Source organism: Homo sapiens, chromosome 2, assembly GCF_000001405.40.
Source record: "Homo sapiens chromosome 2, GRCh38.p14 Primary Assembly".
Classification (NCBI taxonomy): Eukaryota; Metazoa; Chordata; class Mammalia; order Primates; family Hominidae; genus Homo; species Homo sapiens.
The window spans coordinates 80,500,647-80,523,296 of NC_000002.12; the positions used below are offsets into that span (position 1 = coordinate 80,500,647).

The window sequence follows — 22,650 nt, forward strand, 5'->3', positions numbered from 1 at the left end:
ATTGTGCCTTATACTTCCTTTTCCCCACTTTCTCTCTCCCTCCCCCTCTTGCTGACAGAATGTACAAAGGGTCCTAGATTCAGTGTGTACTGGGTAGAGGTGCACAGAAAATTGCCTCAAGTTGTGCAATGTGGCAGCCCTATAGACTTCAGGAACTTTGTTTTGCAATATACATTTTTATTTGTTTCGTTTATTTTAATAAGCTATTTTTCATTAAAGCTTCAAGCTTATTATCTCTCCTCCAGAAGGCTCATTTTCTAACAAGGTTAGATGCAGTTTTTCTTCTTATTGATTGATTGATTTACAGGTAAGAGGAGTGAATGTCTATATACTTGGTCAGGTTCACTTTGATTCCTTATTTCTAAGATGAATTCAAATGTAATGAATCTCTTGAGCCAGACAGGAATTCTTGTTAAATATCACATCTCTCTATTTCACTTTAGTCTTCTACTTAATGGAAAACTGAATAGGTCCAAAGATTGCAATTTCTGCTTTATTTGGCATAATGCCGATACAAGGATCAATTACATCTTAATGATTATATCCCTTATACACTTGATTGCTTAGGCCAGTATATGACCCATTATGTGAAGCAGTCAGAATGCTTTCACCATCTCAGAAAGAGAATAACTTGAGCCTGCACAATCAAAAATATATCACCGTAACTCTTTTCTTCTGAAAGATAGAGCCATATTCTTTTGAACAGATAACTGAAATGAGAAAAGCTGACATTGTATTACTAACAAATCCCTTAGACATTTGCTTTAGAATTAAGTGTGACACATTGAAAGACATGGTTAGAGAACTGCTTTAGTTCTCTACCAGCTCAAGAACATAAACAATATGAACTGGGGTTAGAAACTCCTTAAAGAATCCATGGAAGAGAAATTCATTAAATAAGGTAAAATAACAAGGAAGCTGCCATATCATACCTTTAAAATTCTCTTATGAAGTTGTATCTTGGGTTCATCATGAAACAGTGCTCAGTGAAAGATTTGGGTGCAAAGGATTTATTATGAATGTGCGTTCAGGAGGAACCCCTAAGGGAGTGGGGGAAGCAAAATTGGATATGCGGGGAAAGCCAAGCAAAGGTTTGCTTTTACCTGAACTCAGATCTATCCCAAAAGGTGCTCTGGAGCATAACTTACAAGAGACCATCCATCCTTAAAGGGGTGCAGGTACTAAGTATATGGAAGGTGGGTGATGAACACACCATGCTTGGAAAGGAATCTACAGGGAGTTGCATGGGGTACCAGTACTGTTCAGTGCACTGAAATGCTGAACTCAAGATTGGAAAATTTTGTCAGAGGTTGGTTTCTGTAAAACTCTCCAAGTTTGTTATAACACACTCTATTCTGGGGTCCTTTGGAATAGTAGTAGAAAGGAAAACATGGCTGTGGAGTCAGAGAGGCCTAGGATTGAATCCTAACCCTGCTATATGCCAGCAAATAGAAAAACCTGGCCTAGAGTAAATAGCACCATCCCTAAATATATACACATTAAATCAGCAGTGCTCCTCCTCACACACATCTGCTTTCTATAAAATTTAATATTTGGAACTTTTTCACCATAAGTCATTTAAATCTTTGTTTTTGACTTTTCTCCTCCAGGAAGATTTTAATTTTCAAGCTTACTTCTCTGCAAAATAATGGGATTTAACCTAATTTCAAATGATTCCTGGCAACAGAGAAATACTTATGGTATGCTTATTTGTGGAAACAGAAAGTCCTTTTTCTTCCCAGAGTCCTCTCTGCAGATGCACCTGCCCACTCAGCCTGCCCACAATGCAGGCCCTCTTTTCACACACCCTTGAAAGAAAATTCTTCAAGGAAGTCTAAAGACAAAGACAAATTACAAGAAAGCACTGCTTTTATTTTCATTTTTTCCAAATTAAGCTCCTGACCTACAATTATTATTTTGTGTTCTTTCCTCTTCCTCAAAGCTGGTTTTACTTTCTCTACTGCATTCCCTGATCCTAAGGTATCTGGCAGTTAGTGGTCAGCAGGCTGTCAGGCAGCTCATCATTTGGTCAGGATCCAGGCTACCCTCTGCATCTCTCAGCCAAAACCCTCCATGTGTACCCTCGTGGTTTTTAAAAGAAGACAAATGGCCCTTCTGGGACCCAGGTAGCCAGATGGAAAAACATGGCCCTCCTTGGTCTTGGCTGGGGTGAGAACCTTCTTCCCGAGTCATTCATTAGCTCAAGCTTCTTTCAAATCAAGAGATTCCACCAATTGTGGCAGGGCATGGAGGCTTATGCCTGTAATCCCAGCACTTTGGGAGGCTGAGGCTGGAAGATAAGTTGAGCCCAGGAATTTGAGACCAGTGTAAGCAACATAACAAGACCTCCTTGTTTCTACAAAAATTTTTTTACAAATTTGCAAGGCATGGAGGCATGCAACTGTAGTCCCAGCTACTAAGGAGGCTGTGATAGGAGGATTGCTTGAGTCTGGGAGGTGGAGGCTGCACTCAGCCATGATGGTGCCACTGCACTCCAACCTATATGACAAAGCAAGACCTGTCTCAAAAAAAAAACCATAAATAAAAATAAAAGAAAGAAATTCTACCAATTGCAAAACGTTAGGCTTTAGAAATCTTTCAATCATAGGATATTATTGCTGGAGGGAGCTTTAGAGATCATTTTGTCCCACCTATTAATTTCAGAGAAGAATGGACTGAAGCTTACATAGCTTAGATGTTTTCCGCACAATCACACAGTAGACAATGCTAGCAACTACACTTCTATGACAACAATGGTTGCCAGACTTTTATTCATTTATTAGCATTATAGCCTCTGTTTTGAAAAAAATCTTGCTGTGAAATATACCAACTGGACCTAATTCGTATGAAGTGGGAGATGGGGAGCCCAAAATCAAATCTATACCCCTTTCTTCTTTTTGCAGCTCTGTGCCAAATTCCCTCTTGAAAAACAAACAAACTTTTAATGGCTCTTAGAGACCTAATTCAGTGCTTTAAGTTTCTGATGGGCCTTTATTATGGAGCTTGATTAATATTGTTTAGAAAGTCCTGCACCCGATCATGTGTTTCAAGCTTGGAATGTCCCGTAAAAAAGGGAAGCTCTGGCCAAACAGGTCAGTGTCAGTTTGGGTCCAGAGCCTGGAAAGAGGATCAGGGAAGCTGGAGAAAGAACCAGATAGTGGCTGAACAGAGCCCTGAGCTTCCAAGCCAAGTTTGGAGTCTAGGAAATAGTCTGCAAGGCCAAGTGGAAGGGGCTGAACTGAAAAGAGAATGCTGAGCCAAGGTTCAGGAGCTGGGTTAGAACTGGATGGAAGGAAAGTTAAGGGAATGGTATTCATTTTCCATTGCTATTTTTTGCAGAAATTACTACAGCTCAAATTACTATAAATTTGGTGGCCTAAAACAACATAAAATGTATTATCTCAAAGTTTGTATGGGTCAGAATTCTGAGCATGGTTTAGTTAGGTTGTCTGCCCAGGGCCTCACCAGGGTTAAATCAAGGTGTTAGCCAGTTTTTATTCCTTTGAGAAGTTCAGTGTTTTCTTCCAAGCTCCTGTGGTTGTTGGCAGAATTCAGTATCTTGAGATTATAGAATGGATATTTTCACTTTCTTGCCAGCCGTTAGCCAGGGGCTACTCTTTGTTCCCACCCGATGTTCCTTGCCACATGGTTCTCTCCACTGTAGAGCGAGTTTTTTAATTTATTAGGAGAGCATGACTTTAATGCTTGACCATCTTTTGAAAGGGCTCCATAGATAAGGCTGGGCTCTCCCAGGATCATCTCTTTTGCTTGACCAAAGTAAATTGATTAGTAACCTCAACATGGGAATGACAATCCCGTAGTATTCATGAATCCTTTCCATACTCTAGGGGAGGGGATTATACAGGGAATGTACACCAGAGTGCGGGAACCTTGGGGTGGTCTTAGAATTTTGTCTACAACATGAATGAAGCCAGAGAGAGCAAGGACAGTCTTTCTGGCTTCAAATACAGACTCTACCACATGGAACCTGAAGGGCCTTGGGTGGGGAACTCTCTCTAGGTCTCCTTTACGCCTTACCAGTAAAATGGAATTGTAATCATACTTAGCTCCGGGGATTGTGATGGAGATTCAATGGAGGTATACACAAAAGTTCTTCATCACTGCCTGACCTAGGGTCAATTCATAATGAATACCAGCTTTTTAAACACGTGGCCTGTGGCTCACCTTTCAAGAACCACCTGCACTCTGTTAGTTGTATTGGCTTAAGGGTTCCAGTCAGGAAAGATATTTTCCCTTTTAAGAAATACGAGGTCATGAAGCAGCTCAGAACTTCTTTATTGGGACGATGAACTGCAGGTGCTGGCGCTCCTAGATGTCCCACACATACACCCAGCAGAGCACTGGGTCCTTTCTCATGGCTTGCCTTGGTGGCATGCCTTACGGAGGCTAATGGCTAAGCAGAAGATTAAGCCTTAGCCCCAAGCTAAAAAGGGAGCATCATATGTTCACATTGGAGAATAAGAATGAATGAATGAATAAATGAATAAATAAATAAAGGGAACATCAGGGTTGGCTCAAATTTCCTGATGACATGAAGTTTGAATTGGCATCTGAAAGCAGGTAGAATTTGGATTGTCAAAGTCAGGAAGAAAGTGTTCTTGATAATTTACGTAAAGCTCCCACCCCAGGGCTCGGCTTATCTCTTGGTTTGCCTAAAGGCATTTCTCTTCTCACATCAGGGGAGCAAGTAACTTGGAGCGAGTAACTAACGTACATTGTGTCAAGATCTTATCTAATTTTAAAATAATTAAAACCTAATTAATTTACATATTCTTTAAGTCTGCCATTGGCCTCTTAACGTATGTGTGCCATTAGCGTAAATTGAGATCATGCATATCAACAATTGTCCACTTTTCTCAAAACTGAAAGCCTATGTCTTTCTTACATTGAAGGCTATGGTTTATATCAGCAGTGTGGTGGATGAAGGGGAACATGAATTAGGGGTGATATCTAAAGTTCCACAACAGTGGGCATATGTATACTTCCAATATGGAGAAAGACATTTCAAGTTGTTCCCAACGTCCAGTAAGCCTCATGTACATTTCCATTTTCTATATAACATGCAATAGCTCAACTTTGCAGATACCTTGTTAACTCACTTCCTTCCCCACAAATATACTTGGATATGAAAATTTCCAGGTGCTTGCTTTCTTTAGCTATTCTTGCTATTAAAGTTAGTTAAAAAGTTAACTGTAAGTGCTATACCTTTTTTGAGAAAGCTGCAGCTGTTTGATCCAGTTATAAAAGATCTGTAAGGCAGCCTCAAGGGATATGTGGAGAATTTTCATCAGCTAGGCAATTTATAGTTCTGTTTAGTTTTTACTAGATGTCACGTATTCCCAAAAAAGTTACAACAACATCAGCTTCAGTTTATTATTAGCATACACCTGAAAACTCTTTGGAAACAAAGAGTCTTCAAAAGACTCAGCATGATTTACAGATACAGTGCATGAGCTATTTTCTGAGGAAGTTAGCGTGGAAGCATCAGTGGTTACTAGTGGGCTGCATGACTACTTGAATGACCAATGGAATCAGACAACTGTTAGTAACAGTTACTGGTTAGAGGAGTCGAGGAGGCTTCCTGGAGGAGGCAGCACTTGGGCTGACTCGTTAAACGATTGGTAGAAGTGAGATAAAATGGAAGGTGGTCGTGGGGAAATAGGTTCCACACAGGAAGACCGGTGAGAAAACAAGGCTGGGCAGGCAAAAAATAATGTTAGTGGGGGACTTCAAACAATTCAGAGCTGTTGGAGGCTGACCTGTGGGGAAGTGAGAAAGGGAGTGTAAGGGAGGTCAGGTCAAAGAGGGAATAAGGTCTACATAGGTCACAATGGCTTGTTGGGCAATTTAAAGGAATTTAAATTGGGCAGTTTAAAGGAGTTTGCTGTGGGCAGTGGCAAACAACTGAAGGGTTTTAGTCAGGGCAGAGTTAAAGATAGAACTGCTTTTCAGGTGGGTTCTTATTAGAGTCTATCTTAAATGCTGTGTGGAGGAAATAGATTAAGTGGGACAACTCTGAAGGCAGGAGGCCAGTGAGGAGGCTGTTGAAGTAATTCAGGCTAGCAATGAGGAAGTCATAAGCAGGTCTAGCGTGGGAGGGATGGACAAGAGTTAAAGCACAGCTTCTGTACTTGTTTTCCCTTCATGGGAAGGAATAGAGCATGCCACTTATAAAATGACTATAGAAGCCAGACTGCCCCAGTGTGACTCTTTAAGAACTGCCTATGTGACCTTTGCAAACTTCCTTCTCTGTAAGATAGGGGTGAGAATACTAGTATTGCAAAGATCACACCTATTAATACACGGAAAAGCACTAAAGAGTATTTGGCACATCTTAGGTGTTCAGTATACGTTAGTGATTATTGTGATGAAAGAGTTTAGCCCTGAAACTTGCATTTCTCAGACAAACTCCAAGAGTTGGAATCCTGAATCAGATACTTGTTAGGGTACCATGGCAATTTAACCATTTCGTTCCCTAGTCTCCTCATCTGTAAATGTAGATAACAATAGTATGTACCTCATAGGGTTGCAGTACGAATTAAATGTGGAAATACATGTAAAGTACTTAGCAAGCGACGGATGTATCTTAACAGCCAATGACTCTTTACCACTACCACCACCATCATCACCTAGGCAACTCTTTTATTTATCCCTTTTACTTTTTTTGAGAGTAGTATATGGTGGCTACTAGTTATATGAAAAGTGAAATGCTCCCCACATAGTTTGGTTTTCTTACCTATATTTGAGTTCTCATAATGTAAAACTACTCTGCCTGCTAAATTAACCTCGATGTTTCAAGAGAAAAATCTATGACACATTTACTAATCTTTTAATTTTATATTTGTGTAATACCTTTAACCTATGACTATGAAGTGAAGGTAAAAGTGCTAATTTTTTCTTTATTGTGGCTGAAATTTTATTATGAAATATCTCTTGGCTTTGGTATTCACATAATCTATTTTGTAGGAAATGTCATTATTGTCCCCCAGTTGGCTTGCTCACTGTCAGGAACTAAGGAATAAGACTCGAATTTAGCACTTAGACTGGGTCTCTAAATTGCAATAGAAAATGCTCAATGTATAATATTACCATGCTCAATCTATTATGCAGGCATTACTAAGCATCCACTGAGTGCTTCCATCTTTGGGCTAAGGGTTATGAAGATGGAAACAAATTTGAGTCAAATAGATGGCTGTCAAGGTAGGCAGACTCAACTGGCATTGATGGGTGATTAATGAGCATTGAGTCCTGTGTAGGGACGTTAAGCACTGTGATTGCTCAGATTTGGCAAGACAGGCACTTCACTGCATCCTGGAGAGGCCCAGACCTGGGATCAGTCCTAGCAATGAAGCCTTTGCCACTTTAGAAAAGACATTTCCTATTGGATGGCCTCAGTTTTGCTTTCATTAAATTGGGTTGGCACTAGATGATATCTAAGTTAACTCCCAACTTTTACACTTGCTGGTTAAATGTGAGACGGGTACTTTCCAGAAGCTTTCTAAAGAATAAACAAGTGGGGCTGGACACAGTGGCTCATGCCCGTAATTCTAGCACTTTGGGAGGCTGAGGAAAGGAATGGAACAATCACTTGAGGCCAGGAGTTCAACACCAGCCTGGGTAATATGGTGAAACCCTCTCTCTACTAAAAATAATAATAATTTTAAAAAATTAGCCAGGCGTGGTGACACACACCTGTAATCCCAGCTACTCAAGAGGCTGAGGCACAAGAATAGCTTGAACCCAGGAGGTAGAGGTTTCAGTTAGCCCAGATCTCACATTGTACTCCAGCCTGGACAACAGAGCCAGACTGTCTCAAAAAATATGACAAACAAGTGTATCTTAAAGTTATTGTTGTTCTTGTTGTTTTTTAAGGAATCCGTAGCTTTACCCTACAACATATGGACTCTCTCTAGTCTATATTTTATCTCTGGATCAACTCTTATCAGACCATGTGTGCTAGGTCCTTTATGGAATAAATTTCCTTGAACTGTGCTATGGGATTTATGCAAAAAAAAAAAAAAACAAATTTGAGATTGTGTTGATTGTGTTTATGTAGTGAAGGAAACCACTGACCTCCTCATACAGAGTTCCCTCCATGAAGCCATGTTCCCTGAGGAATTCCCTGAGGAATATGCTTCTTTCCTACTATTTCTGGCAGGTGTGCATCTGACATGGTCTCCCCTCGACTTTGCAGGCTAGGAATCTTGGCCCAGACTAGTGATTCAATATGTACATGGGTGACACATCCTCATTTTATTCTTCTTCTTTTTCGTTTATTTGATATTCATTTTTATCTTTGTTATTTTTTCCATATCATTGCATGGATGCATCTGATCTACCTCTAATTATCTGTGGATCAAACCAAGCAGCAATGTGTGGTAAACAGAAGGTTTAGGTGCCAAAAGCAGAGTCTGTGCTCAGGAGGCTGTTCACTCTTCTGTGATAAAAATAACCCCTCACGTGGGTATAACACATTTCAATTTACAAAGTACTCTTTGAATTTTTATTACTACCTTGTGAAGTGTGTGGTGAAGTTCTTTATTTTCTTCATTCTACAGATGCAGAAACTTGAGGCTCAGGGAAGGCAAGTGATTTGCTGCATGTTGCTTGGTTTTGAAAGGTGCAGCGGTCTGGGTTTAACAGGAACATTTACCAGCCAAGGTTCAGCAAGAGGAGCTTTTCAGTCCCCTAATCCCTCATTATCCCTAAGAGAGGTACACTGAGGCCAGGACAATGCTGATACACCATGAAGTAATACTCTACGGACAAGAAATTGTCCTGCTGATGCTCTTATGGTATAAGTGTGAAAATGGCCTTCTGTAGGGTTATCTAACATATTGAGCTCAGAAAAAAGGCAGACTGAACTTGGATGTCTTCTGTCTAAGAGTGTGCTAGGAAATGCCAGCTGTTTGGCACCTGAAAACCTTGGGGTCCGTGGGTACTTGGGAAGCCAAGTTCAGCACAGTACTACCAATGAGAGAAGGAGGAACCCAGGGCCCTTCTATCACCCAGGGAAGATGTGGTCCCCCTCTGCTGAGATAATGGTTGTCATCAGTCCTAGCTAGCTTATTGGCAGGTAACCTACAGTACATGCTGAACCAAATTGGACAGTCCTTGTCTCCACACATTAGTTATAAGGTAATAGAGCTTGGACTGGAACGCAGGGCTCCTGTCCTCAGATCCATTCTTCACTCCACTGTCGCATTACATTGGTTAAAGGGCCATAGATATTCAGGCTTGAGAAGCAGTATTCCCCCTGGAGAAATTCTCAGGACAGAAATAACAGCTTCCTCTGTTCTACTCTCATTGTACCTAATCCTTTATTATGTTTGTTGACCTGCATATACTTCTGCCCCTCTATAGGGCAATGCCTATGTTCTATTAATTTTAGTAGCCTGCAGCAGTTAGTATAGTTTATGGCATACAACAGATATTTAATAAAACAACATTTAGCTTATGAATTCAGTATCTCCCTGTTAACTTTCAAAAATGAGTTCCTTGGTATACTTAAACTTTTTTAGTCTGCCTAGTCGCTCATTGATTTTTATCACCAAACCAACCCCACAAAACACCATACAGAGTTCATTATGTTGATGATTACTACCTGTAGAGATGTCCTTCTGATTATCTCATGAAGCTACTTCCTTCTCTATGTGCCCTCTTGCTTCAGACCTCATCATCTTTCATTTGAAATATACTGTTACGTGAAGTCTCCTTATTGATTATCTGACACCCGTCTTAACTGAGACCATCTTGCACCTTGTATTCCACCCTTGCTGACCTGCCTGTCAGATTCTAAATACATCTGATGAAGTCTTCCCATTCATTCTTCAAGACCCAGCTCAACAATCACCATAGCTTCACCTTGATATATCATACATGCCAATGGTTTCCTGGGTCATCTCTCAAGAGAATGTATTGGCTTTAGTTTTTGCTTTTGAATATATGCTGAAAAAATTGGTCATATTCTCTGCAATTTATTGATGATCATTTGTTATAGTGGCATTTGCCATTGAAAGTAAATCAATTTTCAGGCAAGAAACCTGAAAAGGTATAACTTTTAGGTTTCAGGGAAAGAATATAGGATCCTTGTGACGTGAGAGTTATAAAATAAAACAGTAGAATCTATAATCCTGGAATAGACTGACTTCTGCTAAATGGTCACGTGTGTCCTCTACCCCTTGTTCCACATTCATTCTCTGTATCCATAGCAGAAGATTCTTGTTTATATGTTTTTATCACGTTCACTCACAGTAATGACTCTGCTCTTTGTTATTTATCTTTGTTAGCAAAGAGACACTGTATTGCCCTTCCCAGGGTACTTGCACTTTAATATCATCTCTCAGGGAAGGGAAGGCTTTGGTGGCAACTTACAAAACAATTGCAAAGAATTGTGAGCAACTTTAGAGAGCCAAAGTTTTTGCTTTGGGTATCCAGTCATTCTCTGGGAAGTAGACTAATAAATTCCTGCTATATTCATCCCTACCTTTTTATGCCTGCTGAACTATATGTGAATCCTCAGTATGCATCTACTTGGGTCAACCTAAGGCAAAATTGTAAAAAATTCAAAAGCATAATGAGAGTTTTAGAGATGGAAAGATATTAGAGATATTTTTCCAGGATAATTTTTACCTTGTCTATCAACATCAGTGTTACGGTTTGAAGCCTTTATCCAAAACAACTGTGAGGCTACCTCTAGGTACTGTGAGCAAGACGTTGGGATTGTTAGCATTGTCTGTCATGGTTATAGGTGAGTTCAAACATGCTTGTTGTATCTTATACAACTTCTATCCCAGTGTAGGGAGTGCCTCTTAAAACAGATGGTACTCTTACTGCTTTCTTAACACATTGGTGGGCCAAGACTATTTTATTACATGAGGTGGTGGCATTGTATATTGACAAAATATATATCATTGTCAAAATCCTTGAATCTCAAAATAGGGACATACTAAAAATATCTGAGTGAAAATTAAAAGGAGATTCGAAGTCACTTATTTTCTATAGTTTACATAATCTGGTAGAGAATAGAGTACTGTAATACTACTAAAAATTACAGAATTGTGTCCAAGGTCAAATTTAATAGTGATAGGATATTTCTGCTTTTCCATATACCAACTACATATCTGTATCTTTTAGAAGTAGAGCATCTCCTATAGTCTAGAATGATTTTACAAAATCACTTCGTTAAAAGTATGTAGGAGGGCCAGGCGTGGTGGCTTATGCCTGTAATCCCAGCACTTTGGGCAGCCAAGGTGGGCAGATAAACTGAGGTCAGGAGTTCAAGACCAGCCTGACCAACATGGTGAACCCCGTCTCTACTAAAAATACAAAAATTAGCTGGGCATAGTGGTGGGCACCTGTAATCCCAGCTACTTGGGAGGCTGTGGCAGGAGAATCGCTTGAACCCAGGAGGTAAAGGTTGCAGTGAGCCGAGATCACACCACTGCACTCCAGCCTGGGCAACAGAGCAACACTCTGTCTCAAAAAAAAAAAAAAAAAAAAAAAAAAGTATATGGGAAACCATAATGGTGACTTTTGCTCTGGATTTAATTCTCATCTGTTAGATAATGTAGATGTTTTAAAAATATACAAATAAATAGTCTTGGAAAAATATGCCCATAACTTCTTGAAGTTCATAATAGCAAAGAAAAGGAATATAGGGCATGGAACCTTATGTGCTGGGTAGTTCACAAAAGCAGATATAAAAATAAAACTTCAAAGGAAAATGGTAATAATTCCATGGCTGAGACTCTGGCTGTGTAGGTTTAAAAGATAAACGTTCAGACTATGTTGCTGCAAATAGTTTGAATGAGAGAAAATGGGATGGGCCTTCTCTGATGAGCTTCTGGGCCGTGTATAGAAGATGAAAGAAGAGGCTCATGGTTACCAAGACTCAGGTTAACGTTTAAAATTGTCTTTAATTCTGGATAGCATTTTAGAGTGACCTGGTTTATTATATATACATTTTCTATTTTGGAAAATATATATGGCTATAAATATTTTTAAATTCTTTTTTTTTGTTTGTTTGTTTTCCCTCCAAGAATCACTACATTTGTTCACCTATGTCAGTGTTTTTTAGTATTTTTTTCATCACTGTCCCCTTAAGGAGTCTTTTTAAAACATTCTTTCCCCGTAATCACCTCTTATATATAATGTTAATACCACAGATATACTGCATATCTATTTATGCACTATGGCCTTTTGGAGGGCCGTTGTAATCTTTAAGCTTTTTTGGCATCCACCAAGAATCAATTTTTGTCCCTTTGAAAATGAAATATCTATGCTACAACTGATTTCCTCTATGCAGAATATATAGATTTGAGCTATTTTGGGGCATCTTCTCTTTCCCTTAACATTTTGTGTTGTAGCTCCCTTGCTTACACAAGAGAGTATACCCACAAGTGCTCCTCTCTTGGTGTGCTAAAGACACATCCTTTGCTTTGCAAGATCCTGTGGTCCTGATACCAGAAACTAGGTTCTACATGGTCCACACCAGAGGGGGGTCCTACACATTAATTCATATGCATAACTATTAAGATCCCATTAGCTCCTCTTTCAGGAACATAAATGTAAAGAACAGAGAAAAAACAATACCACCTGGCTTCTTCCCTTCCTTCAGTTTTTTCCTCCAGGCCAAAGTCTAAAGATACAGCCCCAGTTTCTTTCTTTATTTTTCAAGAAATAACAGTTGTTTAGCTGGGCTTTAGCAAATGTGTGTGAGCACTTTCTTGACAGATTCTCTGTACCACCTCAGGTGTATACTACAAGAAGACAAACACTCTTATTGGATACCATATCAGTTTTAGGTACGGTTTTCTTCACTTTCCTCAAGAGAGAATCTGTGGCCACTATATAGCTTTGTATTTCTTTTATTGAATGTGTGGTTGCATATCAGTCAGGATAAATTAGGTTATGCTGCAGTAACAAAACACCTTCCAAAATCTTGATGCCATCATCTCCATCTTTCTTGTCACATGATAGATGGAACGCATAGTCTGGAGGGTCTCAATTTTAGCAAAGGAGTAACACGCATAATTTATCTTCCCAAATTGTTAGGCAGAACTAGTCTCATAATCCCATCCAACTGCAAGAGAGGAGAAAATGCAACTCTACTTGCTGTGAAAGAAGAGGAGAGTTAGATCTTAGCAGAACTAGTGATACCATAGGATAGTACCAGGGTTTTCTCTATTTTCTGGATTCTTCCCTCTGCATAATAGATGGATATTTCTTCTTCAGTATCTATAATTTCTTTATAACTTTTCTACCATACAAAGTCTTTTCCTTTCTTCTCCTGAATCACATTCTTTTTCTCAGCAATCATTTACCATTTGATTTGAACGTCTCTCTTTCTCATAATCTTTATTTTTATTTATTTTGTTGATTTAGATTGATTTCCTAACTAGATTTTATATATCTGTCCTGTTTAGGCACTCACTGTGTTAGGTAACCTGGTTTATTGAGGGTGATGCAGGAGTTTTTCTCAACCCCTTTGTTGGACTTGCGATGGGGGTGCTCTGATTACTTGGCCAGCCGTGCTCAACCTCTTGAAGGAGGGAGTGCATGAGTGAGCAAGTACAGGATCCAGCTGTCCACTTTGGGTGCCAGAAGGAGCAGGCTCTGTGCAGGCCCCCTGGCAGCACCCAGGTTGGGTGCCTGCGACCTCTGAAGTCCCAGAGGGCATGTTACAATGCTCTCTTAGCTCCTCTGTTCGTGGACAGTGGGGTGTTATCATCTCAGTGGGCCCCTTGCCTTGTCCTGTGTGGTGGCCGCCTTCTACCAATGAGTGCAAACGGCCAGTGTGACAGCCTTTTCTGGGTACCCACACTCGGTAAGTCCCAAGCTCTTGTCTGGTGTCCAAGAAGAATGAGGTCACATGGACCCTTGAAGGATGTTAGATGTGGGGAATTTTATTTAGTGATGGAAAAGGCTCTCAGAAGAGAGGGGAGTGGGAGAGGTGACCAGGCAGGCAGGTAAACTTCCTTGAAGTCAGGCCGTCTCTGGCCAGCTCTTCTCCAAAGTTAAGCCATCTCTCCTCCAAAGTCCAGCCGTCCCTCTGAAGTCAAGTCACCTCTCTCCAGTCAAGCCGCTTCTGTCTCCCTGCTGACTGAGTCTGGGATCTTTATAGGCACAGGATGGGGGGTGGGACAAGCTGTAGGTAGTTTTGGAAAAGGCAACATTTGATTGATAAAAAGACATTATTCAAAAAGAACCAATCAGGAGAGAGAGGGCACACAGGGATAGAAGTTCTCACTTTGGGCCGCAGGTTTTAGGCTTTTTGGCTTGAAGGTGCGGTTTCATCAGGGACCTACCCCTGTCTGTCTAGAATTTCTCTGCCTTCTTCCTCTATGAAGAGGAGTGTGTCAAGTCCTTTGATTTCTCCTTTTGCAGGGAGATTTGCAGCACACATTCTTAGGGTGACTAAAAGCCTTCAAACATAAGAAATGGATCTTATGGTACCAACAATTTCTAGGTGAATTGCCCATCTTTTTTTTTTTTTTCCCCCTTGGAAACTGCTCATTTTCAGGACCATTCTCATGAGTTTCAAATAGGATTTTTTTCTTGGAATTGAATTCTGTCAACTGACCCACCATCACCAAGAGAATGCCCAGCTCTGTTCTTCTTTGATGGAAATTTCTCTTTCTGTGTCTCAGGGCTTCCCATATGAAAAAAAGATAAGATGATAAATTAATTGCTAATGGGAGAGAACAGAAGAAGGATTTTCACAATCTTCTCTTTTATTCCCTTGGATAGCTCAGAATGACATAATAGTATTTCTGACTCAGAAGCTAAAGCTGAGACTCAAGAAGGAGTACCTGGGTCTTAGATAACTTTTTGAGACCTCAAAGATATTATTGCCTCTTTATTTTGCTAGAAATTGATTATTTCAGTTGCCAGAGGCTGACATTGGGATCTTATTCTCTTGAGCTGCATTAGAATGAGAAGGCATTCATCCCTCTCTAATGCTTAAAAGAAACTTTTGTTACATATTCTTTAAATTTGAAATGTGTTTTTTATTATTCACCACATGAGCTCAGATTTGTAAAGAAACATAGAAACTGAAGACCTAATTTACTTCTTGCTCTGCTTTGTGGAAAATAAAGCAGAAGGGGATGATGGCCAAGGTCTGGTGGCTTCAGCCGAAATCAATTGAGGCTTCAGATTCCATATGAATGGCAAAAGCCTCAGTATCACTGAATTGCATGTCTGTTTCATCCTTACAGATGGGACAAAAACTTGCCCAAATCCAGATCAAAGGAACCAGTTTTGATGGTTTTTGCTAAGGTCTGGGTGTGTTTTTCCTTATCCACCTCTCTTTCACACTATTCTGTCTCTTCTCTCTCTCTTTCTCTACTCCTTTCAGGTCAAGTGTATAGATGACCTCCTTCTCATTACGGACAACAGTGGGATTCATTATGCAGAACATATCTCCCTGAGGCAGAGTGTGTGAAGCCACCCAAGCTTAACATCTCTGGGGCAGGAAGGGGATGTGCTCAGGAAAGCCTTTGTGTCCAGACTGAGCTGATTGGCTAATATGCATCTTGCCTTTGGCCACCTCATGCCATGAATATCTAAGCAACATTGGGTTTTTTTCTCAGGGCAGAAGCAGAGAGATGGAAGATAACAGAATGGTGTTTGTTACCCATATGTAGGATGCTATTTACATAAAAGCCGCAGAAGCTATGTGATTTCCATGCGGTCCTTACCGTTTTGCCTCAGCTGGGTACCTGTGCAGGCCAGGGTGACTGGCTGCAAATGAGCTTCCTACTTGTCTCACCCTACACAGCTCTGCCTCTCCCCATTAATGCTCCCCATCTGGTCCTCAAAGCACCTCAAATAGGTCCAAGATTAACTCTGGCTGAGGGGAGGAGGTCATTTTTCAAACATGGTTAAGCACGTGGCAGGGGCTGAGAATATCAACTTTTCTTTCTCAGGAACATGTGAACTTTTTTAGTGTTAAGCAACACCTGAAAACTATTCATCTTAATGCAGAGTTAGTTTATACCCTGAGAAAACAGGATTAACCATTCACAGTCCTGATCATCTATGTTTAGTTCTCTCTGTAGTCTTTGGAAGTTACCTGCCAAGGACAGAATTTGGTCTCAAGTGAGCAAGAAATACAGACAAATTAAGTGCCAGATTCCACTTTTCTAACAACGGTAAATTAATAGTCCTTACCTAATGGTGTTCTTTTTACTTGAGTTAAGGCATAACTGAAGTTTTCTCTTCCATGTGAAATCAGAAGAGATTTTTATTTCTTTGCTTCATTCCTCTCATGAGGGGTAAGTTAAGTTTTGTTTTTGGTAGAAACTTCTAAGTTCCAATTGCTTTCTCTCACCCCACCCCTCCCCAGAAAACAATCCTCCTGTTTGTCTGAAATGAAGAAGGAAGGCAACTTGGTGCTGCACAGAAAGGTAAAAAGAGATGGATGGGAACATTTGTTTCTGACCTTCAGCGAAAGAATTCAGTTAGGCACTATAAATTTGTTTTCTGCAAATGGGAGAGCATAAGTGTGCTCCATCAGGGTGGAGGAAAGCATTTGCACCCAAAACATGGAACACAAAATAAATCGATCAAATTAATTTTTGGCTGTCAGCCCTGGAGGCTCATTTCCCATCAGCAGTATCAGGAGGAAAAGGAGCAGTTAACTTGTAATGATTGGGGAAGGTGGGGACCACGGATGGATTTGCTCAGGGGCACTGCAAAGGGTGCCTTGCTTTCACTCTTCCCACCAAGAATTTGCCTTGTCTGTAATCACAGTGGTCTGCTGCTGCCATGGAGGAAGTATGTAAGTTGCCCTGGGGCCCAGCTGTGCACTGTTCTGCTGGCCCCAGTCCTTGACCTTATCTGTAGGAGTTACTCCTTTGAGTTAAAGGATGACAGGACCACTTACAGGCGTCTATTAATCTTGTGTAACTGTATACCTTTTGCCAGGCAAGGAACATTCCTAGGGGATGGGTGATGTCAAGGAAGTGTTCATTGAGGAACTTGTAGAGAGAATGTCTAGAGCCGAGAGTAATATTGGGGAATCCTGCCACAAAATGGTGCTCAGGACAAGTTTTGGGCCACATAACCCCAAATCGTTTTAATAACATTGGAGGCTTTTTGCATTGCATCAACACTGAGTCATTTTCTGGACAATATTTATTTTACTGTTTGTTGCCTAAACTTGGTCTGCATGATTACTTTACTGATCCAGGAAACTCATTTTATGATCAGAGTGTATTGAAAACATTGGCTTGTCAGTATGGATCACACTAACCAGATATTTGCCAGAATTCACATCCCTAAAGTATGCTATTTCTAGGGATTACAAGTAAAACACCTTCAGGTGACGGGCAGTAAATGCAAGCATTTGCTCCAAGGCAAGACACCAGACTTGCCATTAGACTGCAGATAGCTGGAAATGCTGTCCTTCACTCAAAGACATTTATATTAAAAGCTTTGAATTTGATCTGTGATTTGACAATTTGAAATCTCAATGGATTATTGAGGTGATTCTTCAAGCATATTTTTCATATTCAGTTAAGTAAATGATGAAATATTATTTAGTTAAAAGCAGAGTGAGCTGATGATCTCTAGTGGATGTGGAATGTTATAATGGAATAATTGGATCAGTCTGGTCTTCTGGTATTGGAACATCATTTCCCCAATCTGTCAAGTTCTCCCCTTCTTCCTACACCCACAGAAGCACAGATTTTGGTTATTACACTGGGACGTCTCCAACTGTCCAAGAACATTCCATGTCCTTCTTGTCTTTATGGATAGAGGATGATGGATGATACCCCTGCCCCAACATATACATCATGGATATTAGACATGTTGAAATGCACAGAAGTTATATTCTGTTGAGTTTCTGCCTAAACCTGGAATTTGGTTGGCTCTGCTTCCTGGTTGCCTGTGATACTCAGTCTTCAGCTGGTCTGCAGTGTCGGGTTCTTAGTGATCACTATTCATCTCATCAATAATTATTATATGAATGGCATGTTGTATATACCATAAAAACACACTTAATGTGTTTTTTGCTACTAGATTCTCAAATATTCTTGACTATTTATATGAGTAAATGTGAATTAGTTTTAGGAAAAATTTGATTCCTGAAGGAATCTGTAAGCTTCTTTTTGTTAAAAATATTTTTTAAAAAACTCTATAGCCCATTATTTGCCTTTTTGCCTTAGCTCTCAAGGAACCAAATCTAAACCTAGTATCTGATTGTAATAGACTTATCTGTGCATTTTCTTTTCCTGGTTTCTGTTCACTTCCACCCCTGGATAATTAAGAGGGTAAGATAATTTACTTACTAACACATAAATGGGATTTTTTTTTGAAATCTGGCATTGCTTAGAAGAAGGGAATCCACAATTAGTAAGTTTTCATGGGGCAGTGAAAAATATGAAACACCTGGAGCTTGATTTGATAAGGGAATACAAGAATAAACACCTCTCTTTCTCTTTTGTGTGTGTGTGTACGTGTGTGTGTATGTATGTGTGATTTATATTATAAAATCAAGGAGCATCTGAGATAGAAAAATGTAGCTGAGAAAGCCAAAAGGAAAATGCTGTAGGAAAACAGATTAGCATTGTGAAGTCCTAGAAGCATTTTTTGAACACTATCATGGATTGTGCTTTGTGCTGATGAAACAATAAAACACAGAAACGCATTGCCAAATCCAGACCGAAAAAGTGACAAGATCATTGGACTGGTACTTAGGGTGCCTGGTTTTGAAATCTGGTTTGGTCACTAATGAACAGAGAGAGCATCTTTGAAAAAAAATCACACTCTAGGTTTCCATTTGGATGCTCTCTACACCCCCTTCTAGTTTTCACATCATGAGTCACTTAAAAATGCTTCCATATTGCATAAATATTGGCAACAGCATTGTTACTCCCCAGCATGTGCCTGGGCACAGCTCTGAGCAATAGAGAATAATAGGTCAGAACTAATTCCTTGACCTGATCTATTCTGACCTCCTCTGAATTCCACGTCCTAGAAATTTTTATATTTATTCAAAGGCTGACTTTTCTGTTTGGTAATATTTCCCTTAGATTGTAGAGGACAACTACATGCTAGTATCTTTACTTTCCTGCTGAAATAGCCCATAGCACAGTAGTTTGGGAATAGCTCTACTGAACTTATTGAAATAACTAAGTCCTAAGAGGCTCAGCTGCTCATCAGATGCAGACCCATAATGGCCAGGTGTCCTCACTTTGGGGAAGTGACACCAGAGACCATCCTCTGGAACAACATGCAGTGGACCACATCAGGAGACTGGTCACGCCTGTCACACCTTCACCACATGGTGCATTGTCCTTCATCTTTCTAAGATGGGGTCACATCATTGATCCACTGTTGCTTAGAAGCCTCTTTCCTTTCACCCCACAGAGTGGAACACCCCCTGTGTTTCCCTGATTTCCTCATCCCTCCTCCTCCAGGAATGCTGTTAAAATAGAAATTTCAGCTGAGTCACTTTCCAAAGTGAGGTGTGAGACCAAGAGGGTGTGTGTTTCTAAGCAGCTGGCTAAAAGATGGTGAATGAACTCTGAATATACTCACCCACACTAGAGACATAAAGGGATCAATAAGCATATACTAGATGGGACACATTTTTGGAGAAAGCTGTTGGTGGCCTGTGCCATCCCCTTTTCATTATCAAAAGGAAATAGGCCTTGATAGAAGTGCAAGGAGAGAACTGGAAAAATTCCCGACCTGCCAGCGGGGAACACAGAGAAATAGGGTTTACTTCAGGCTGAGGGCCCTTGTCGGTTCAGGTATTATAACAAAATAGCATACACTGGAAGTCCTAAACAACAGAAATGTGTTTCTCACAGTTCTGGAGGCTGGAAGTCCAAGATCATGGTGCTAGCATGGTCGGGTTCTGATGAGGGCCTTTTTCCGGAGTTGCAGGTGGCTAACTCCTTACTGTATCCTCACCTTGCAGAAAGAAAGCTAGTTTGCTCTGTAGTTTCTGCTTATAAAGGCACTATTCCCATTCATGAAGACTCCACTCTCATGACTTAATTAGCCCCCAAGGGCTCCACCTCTAAATATCATCACATTGGAATTAGGGTTTCCACATACTAATTTTGGGGGTATTGTACTGAGAGACTCTAAAGAGCAAGAAGCCGGCTGCACCTGCTTCCACATTGATTCGGTGAAAAGCTGGCTGCATTAGGATTGGCCTACACTGCCAGAGTTTGTCAGTAAAAAAGAGTGGTATTTTCTGTGAGTTGAGAGGTTTGGTGTGGAATGATCCAAGGTCCTGTTCAAGAGGGCTGTTTGGAGAGTGGATAAACCTCAGTAGAAATATTGAGGTATTACTACATGGCCAGGGGCTGAGGCAGGGGTACCAGGTGAATGAGGATGAGATGCACTGGCCCTCAGTGAGAGAAACAAATCACTGATGAGAAAGCCAGCTGTGAGCACCCACGAAGCCCTGACAGCCCTTGTGCTGGGGCCGCGTCCCTGTGTAGTGAGCAAAGATGTTCCAATTTCCCCATTCTTTTCTCCCTTCCTCTACCTAACCCTGGAGACCAGTTAGTAAGTTGAGGGAACAGGATTTGAGGCTACCAAGTGGAAGAACAAAAGAGAAACTGAGTGCCTCCTCGTACCTGCTATACTCACCAAAGCCCCATACAGGGAAGGAGATGGGAGTCTTTATTTCCAAACAAAATGCAAGTTTTAACTCTTACATGGAACTCTATGTAGAATCATTGCTCCCTGATCCCCCCACAGTTGCTCACATCCTAATCCCTGGAACCCATGAATATGTTACTTCATGTGGCAAAGGGGAATTAAGGTTGCAAATGGAATTAAGATTTACTAATCAGCTGAATTTAAGGTCAGGACATGAGCCTGGATTTATCCAGGTGGGCCCAATGTAATCACAAGGGTCTTTATATGTGAAAGAGGGAGGCAGGAGAGTTAGAGTGATGCAAGGAGAGAAAGACTTCACTAGCCGTTGTTAGTCTTGGAGATAAAAAGGAGCTAGGAGCCAATGGGGGCAGCCTCTAGGAGTGGGAGAAGACAAGGGAACGAATTCTCTCCTGGAGCCTCCGGAAAAGAATATAGCACTGCTGACACCTTGATTTTAGCCCGGCGAGCCCCATTTCAATCTTCTGACCTTCAGAAATGTAAGATAAATTTTGTGATGTCTGAAGCCATTAAAGTTGTAATTTTTAACAGTAGCAGTAGGAAATTAACACACTAAATAACTAAATCAAAACTGCATTACTTCAGAAGAAGCAGAAAAGTCATAGGTAGAGAAAGAATTAGCCTCAAGGAGTAACTTAAATGAAGAGAGGGAGATCAAAAAATGAAGTCACTTTAAGAATATACAGCCCCAAGTGGTTTCTCAACCTAACAGTTACATATCTAAATCAGGTTATCTGTCCATATTTCTTTCTAGAAGCTCCCCACAAGGCCAACCTGGATCCTGTGTTTCTCTTAAGTGTGTTGTGCATTCTCTGGTTCTGAACAAAGGTCATGTCCAAAGTCCATATTCGGAAACAGTTTTCATGGAGCTCTACTCATTTGCAGAGAGAGTCAGCTCTGTCAGGGTGATTGGTAGTTAGTGTGAGCCTCAGCTGTTCTCAAGGATCCTCAAAAGAGAGTCTTAATGAGTGCTGCAGTCTTCTGTAGCAAGAGGATGGGAGCTGTGATGTGTTTGAGCAATAAAGTTGGAGATCCAAGTTGGGGTCAGACAGTGGAGGACTTCAGATACTGTAGAAAATAGATTGCATTTAATTTCAATAATTAGAATGTGTGTTGATAAACATTTGAACTGTGACCGTTGCATTGAAGGGGTTAGGAATAAAGCGGTTGGAGATATCTTGCTGTTAAAGGTGACGGGACTTTAATTGCCGAGTAGGAATCTTAGTTTTCTATCCTGGAGATTTTTGTCCCCGCCCAAATCTCATGTTGAATTGTAATCCCCAGTGTTGAAGAAGGGGCCTGGTGGGAGGTGATTGGATCATGGGGATGGTTTAGTACCATCCCCTTAGTGCTGCTTGTTTAAGTATGTAGCACCCAGCCCCCACTTCTTGCCAGCCACGTGAAGACGGCTTGCTTTCCCCCTCACCTTCCTCCGTGATGGTGAGTTCCCTGAGGTCTCCCCAGAAGCAGAGGCCCGTACAGCCTGCAAAACCATGAGCTGATTAAACCTCTTTTCTTTATAAATTACCCAGTCTCAGGTATGTCTTTGTAGCAGCGTGAGAATAGACTAATACAATATGTCATTAGCTGATAGTGACACTGAGCAGGAGAAGACGGGGTCCTGTGGTGCATATGTTTTGTGGAATTCATGCATTTGGGGTGATTGTGCACTGCTCAATTGGAGCTATCAACCAACTCAGAAAATTACATAAAGGTAAGAGTGAGAAGCCAGAGTCTGGGATAATGAGTTGTGTATTTTCAACCCAGTAATGAAAATAGGGTCAGGGTGAATGAGATCATCTAACAAGGAAGTATTGAATAGGTGCCATACCTGTGTATTAGAGGAAAACATTTATTTAATGAAAAAAACCACTTGTAGCAATCTTGAACATGTCAAGCAGCCTCAGTGGGAGAGCAGAATTCAAATACATGGGTGAGCAGAAAGGAAAGTGAAGTTGTAAATGCAACAAAGGCTGAGTA

General features: G+C 40.7%; 1 protein-coding gene across 15 annotated transcripts in view; it reads left to right on the top strand.

The window, feature by feature from the left end:
* CTNNA2 (catenin alpha 2) overlaps positions 1-22,650 on the top strand; it is a 1,463,404-nt gene that overhangs the window by 1,315,270 nt on the left and 125,484 nt on the right. Inside the window, exon 1 of one of the 15 annotated variants that reach the window (XM_011532557.3) lies at positions 5,548-5,702. The exons of the other annotated variants lie outside the window; for them this stretch is intronic. The gene's annotated coding sequence lies outside the window, so the exon portion shown is untranslated. Of the gene's footprint in view, positions 1-5,547; positions 5,703-22,650 lie in introns of those variants that run through there. 15 annotated transcript variants of the gene reach the window in all.